Below are 4,890 nucleotides of genomic sequence, written 5' to 3' on the forward strand. Positions count from 1 at the left end.
ACACACCTGTCTGAGATGGAAAAGATGGGTGAGCTTCGGATGGAAGAAGAGCAGCAAAGAGAAAAGACCACAGTCTTTGAACTGGCTACAGATGTGCTCAAGTCCCAGCTCCACTACAGACTTGTTCCTTATTTTGGGCAAATACAGCAATCTTCCTTCTCAAGTTGGTTTCTCCAGGAAATAGACTCTGAGGTTCTGAGATCTGTGTGTGGGAGCTGTATCAGGGGAATTTATTAGAGGTGCTCTCAGGAGCAATGTCTATGAGGGGAGAATGAAGCATCACTGGGCAGAAAGAGAAGCTGAACCTCAATGAGGTGATGCTAGAGTCCTTAGCTGATCCACGGGGAGCTCTAGAGCTGTCATGGTCCTTCACCAATGTCTTGAGCTAGGCAAGGGGGCTGAACCTTGATAGCCCTGCACCAGTGAGTCATAAAATTTGGGCTATCTCTGAGGAGGGAAAAGCCGTTCCCTTCTAATTCCTGGGGAGGGATGAAAGTGTGAGCTGTTTGCAGCCAACACCTGCAGCAGCAAGGAGAATGAGAGAATGAGTGCCTTGGTCCTGAAAATGGGGTAGTGCTTGGGGTGGCACCTCAGCATCCACAGCATTTTCTGAGCCTGTTTCTTGTTTGGTGTAAGAGGGATAAAAATACTTATCTTTCTTGGGCATTATAAGGGTAAGGCAGTATACCATATGCAAAGGGTCTAATCATACTCGGCACATATCCAGCATCCAATAAAATGTAATTATCAGTGGATATGAGCATGAAGTCACTTGACAGCAAGGACCAGAAGCAGTGTAAGAGGAAAGTAATGGAGGTAGAAACAGTTACGACAAGTTTAGTATATTAAGAAAAGCAGAGGCCCAACCTAGTGGCTCACACCTGTAATCCCAGCACTTTGGGAAGCCAAGGCAAAAGGGTTGCTTGAGCCCAGGAGTTCAAGACGAGCCTGGGCAACATAGCGAGATTCCCACCTGTACTAAAGAAAAAAAATTAGCTAGTGGTGCACAATTATAGTCTCAGGTTCTTGGGAGGCTGAGGCTGGAGGATTGCTTGAGCCCAGGAGTTCAAGGTTGCAGTGAACTATGGTTACACCACTGCACTCTACTGTACTCTAGCTTGGGTGACAGAGTGAAACCTTGCCTCTCTCTAAAAAAAAAAAAAAAAAGAAAAAGAAAAAAAGAAGAAGAAAAAGAAGAGTAGAAGAAGAAAAGAAAAGCCGGGAGAGCAACCATGGTTTTAATGTAGGTGATCACTTGCTGTATAGCATGGCTTAAATATCTTGAGACAAGATGACAGAGATTCTTCAAATTTAGGCAAGGAAATCAGGACTGATGCAGTAGACACTAAGGCTTGAAGATGGCTGTAACTTGCTGAAGGCAATCTGTGCTCCGATTCTGCATGCTTTCCTATTGTGGCAGAAGATAGTCAGTGGGCAATCAGCTTCCCTGGCTCTATGCTTAATGAGACATTAACTGCAAGCAATGTAGGGTGGGCATAAAGAAAGGCTTACTTAAAATGGATAACAGAAAGATTGTCATGTTGCCCCTCAGAATGAGACATTGATTACCCTAGACCTATGGATTGAACTGGAAACTGTTCTTTTATCGAGCGAGGTGGAGAAGTAACTTGAAGCTTTGGAAATGTGGACAAGGGCCTCTTGGGATATACCTGGTTGCTTGGAGTAGATCACTACACCCCACCATGTCCCCAGAGGGGTATATAAGGCTAGGGTGCAGCATTGTTGTCTTCAGCAAAATACATGGAGGTCTGGCAGAAGCAGAGATGCTCAGTGCATCCGGTTCTGTGAAAAGTTCTAAGAATATCACACATCAGAAGGTTGTCAGCCTAGTGTGACCAGGTGTCCAAAGTCAACTCAAAGCCAGCAGATAAAGGTGAACTTTCCTGTTTTCACTCTCAGACAAAAATGCACTGTGTGCTGCTCAGAACCAGCAGAGCCATGGGCAAGATGGGCCATATCCTGTTTAATGGTGGCCGCAGATATTTCCTGGCTGAGAGCTCAGGTCAGAGTTATATACGAGCATGCGATTATACACAGTACTCATTTATACACAAGCAGATGAGACTTTCTTTTCCTTTTTTCTCTTTTTGTGCCTCTTGTAAAATGTCACTTTTGATCTGGGGTTGAAAAATTGCCGGCTTCCAAAAGTTGGCCTACTTAGTCCCCAAGGGACATTTTTAAATGTTGAGGATATGCCTGTTGAAAATATTCCCTTTGCAAAATTGGAGGAGAGCTTCCTGCAGATTTCCACCGCCTTGCAGCAGCCCCGTCTTCTCCTAATGAAGAAATCACTTTTTACAATGTTCGTTATAAAATAGGGAATGGCTTGAATTATCTCTCTCTGCAGGGAGTTTCATTTATCTGGAATATTCAACCTAATTAGCTAGCCCAACTGGTCAAGACTCAAGTTGATAGCCAGGGGCAGTCTTAATACATTGAAAAAAAAAGTATACAGTAGCTCTTTAAGCAGATCCGTAGTGAATATTTGAATGCTTAATATATTTACTTGAACAAATAAAGAATACATAAATGACAGAGTTTCTAAACTCATCACCTGGAGATTGCGAGGGGTGATATTTCAAATTAGTACGGATGCATCTAGAAAGTTAGCCAAGGCATGTCAGTGTTTCCTCTTAAATGCATTATTTCGTGTGTGTGTGTTTTAAGTGGACACAATGATGTTTGTGCTGTCTTGTGGCCCAGCAAACACAAACCAGGGTATTATCTGGTTATCATGGGTGTGAAAATTCAAGTACGGGTCAGAGACTGAGCATCGGAAACAGTGAGCTGTTTCTTTGACAAGCGTTAACCAGCTTGCCAGGCTGGGACCCAGAAGCAAATGTTTCCACTCCCTTCACCGGATAGCCTGGAAAGATAACTATGCATCAGGTAGTTACTTAAGTGGAACCACTGGTGTAGGGTTACCAGAGTCTTTTCCTTTTAGTGCCCAAGGGCAAAGAGCATTGTTAATGACGCCTACACCGGAAAGTAGGTTAAGAGGCTTGACACCGAACTGTTGGCGGTATTACAGTTTAACACTTGGCGTCCTCTGACTCAATGTGTAGATGCCAGTTCATGCTTTGTAGCTTCACAGAAAACTGAAGTTTAGACATCTGTAGGTGGAAGGAGTGGAACTGATGAATCATCTGTAGAAAAAAAAATGAAATACATCTTTGTTTCTTTGAACTCAATAATACCCGGTGCCTGAAATGTGAATGTGTTAATTACAGAGATTTCAAAGCAAAACCATAGCTTGCAAAGGGTAAGTGTGTTTTTACTCAGCATATTAACAATACCTTTAGAGTAGGTGCTGTCATCTCCTGAACAAAGGAATGTTTATGGAATTGAATGACAACAATGCATGGGAAGCCAAATCATAACAGGCACAATCATAAAATGTCTTTCTATGATTACATTTAACAGATTATTCTCTTATCTGTCCCTTTATTAAGAAGATGCCATTTTCCCATGAGAGCCAAACACTGCATCCAAAAAAAAATACAACAAACAACCCTTTCCTGAAATGCATGCATAATTTTAGACAGAAAAAAAGAGAACCTTGAATCTCATTCTTTCCTACAATTAAACTCATACATTGTTTTAAATACTGCTTGAATGCTACTAAATTCACATGGATGCAAGATGGTGTGATGGTTAAGAGGCTGGGTTTAGCAATAGAAGTTTCCTCTTTTCACTCCTTTATTTGCAAAATGGGAGTAAAAATGCTGACTTTAAGGACTAAAGGATATAATACACAACGACTGTTCAGTGCCTAGCATATAGTATGTGTTCAGTAAGCATCGCTATCCCAAATATTATTATTTTTCAGGTAGATGGGTGAAAAGCCGAGCAAGTTGTAACAAAAGGAAGGCAATTTTTTTTTTCTGTTTGCAAACATTTTTATGCAGGAGAATCTGAAAGAAGTCTTAGTTTTTTTTAACAGTAAGAAGTGGTTCTAAGACAATCTGATCCAATTCATCATTTTACACCACAAGAAACTAAGGCCCAGAGAGGGGGAAAGGACTTGCTCAAAATCCAATTGAATTCTCAGAAGAAAGAGGACTAGGCCCTAAATCCTGACAGTCAGGGCAATATTCTTTCATTACATTCCCTGTCAATCTTTGAGCATGAAACTATGTTCATCTGGGAATGTATCATTATGTGTTATCAGTTAATGCGAGCATTGAGTCTAACTTACTCTAGCTGGTAACTGGGGTGAGTGATAACATTGCATATTTCACTAAAATCTTTAGATGGTTATTGTTTTAAAAGTTCCTTTGTACATGTACTTGAGCTCACATTATGTATGAGTTTTGGAATATGTAGTATCTATCTGTCTATAACTCTATAGGTGTAATTCAAGTGGAACTTACAAATTGAGAGTAGGGGCAGTTTTTTATATGAATGTTAGAGACTTTAAATTTTAAGGCATTTGTCCTAAAACGTTGCTATTAGATTGACTCTTAGGGGTTAAGGTAGACTCTCACTAAGAAGTTCATGATAAGATACTGCTGGGATATATTTTAGGTAAGAATAAATTTTTCATGGATTTGTTTGTCAACTTCCGTTAGCTGTGAACAGTATAAGCCAAGGAATTAAGGCAATAGAACAGGAATATTTGAAGCAACATGAGGGGATGTTTCTAAATAGGGTGGTTTTCCAGAAGAGCAGATCCAGAGAACAGTATTAGGACACTGGACATCAGAAAAGTTAACTGAAAATGGTAAATACCAAGACAAGAGGAATAATGGAGGTCTCAAGCATCACTGAATTTGGAAGACTTAGCTACAATAAGCCTTTTCTTGCTGGTAACCATTGGTTGTCATGGTTCCCATAACTAACTTGCTCATTTGCAAGAACACAGAAAAT

The 4,890-nt window shown here is 40.7% G+C and overlaps 1 annotated feature.

Annotated features, from left to right (window-relative positions):
* Positions 2,325 to 3,524: an enhancer, noted in NCBI's record as "P300/CBP strongly-dependent group 1 enhancer chr16:51611051-51612250 (GRCh37/hg19 assembly coordinates)". NCBI's record gives its function as "activates an origin of replication core promoter dependent on BRD2, BRD4, P300/CBP, MED14 and CDK7 cofactors, with strong dependence on P300/CBP, by STARR-seq in HCT116 cells {active_cell/tissue: HCT116}" and the evidence as "EXISTENCE:reporter gene assay evidence [ECO:0000049][PMID:35650434]".

The sequence above is a fragment of the Homo sapiens genome, chromosome 16 (assembly GCF_000001405.40).
Source record: "Homo sapiens chromosome 16, GRCh38.p14 Primary Assembly".
Lineage (NCBI taxonomy): Eukaryota > Metazoa > Chordata > Mammalia > Primates > Hominidae > Homo > Homo sapiens.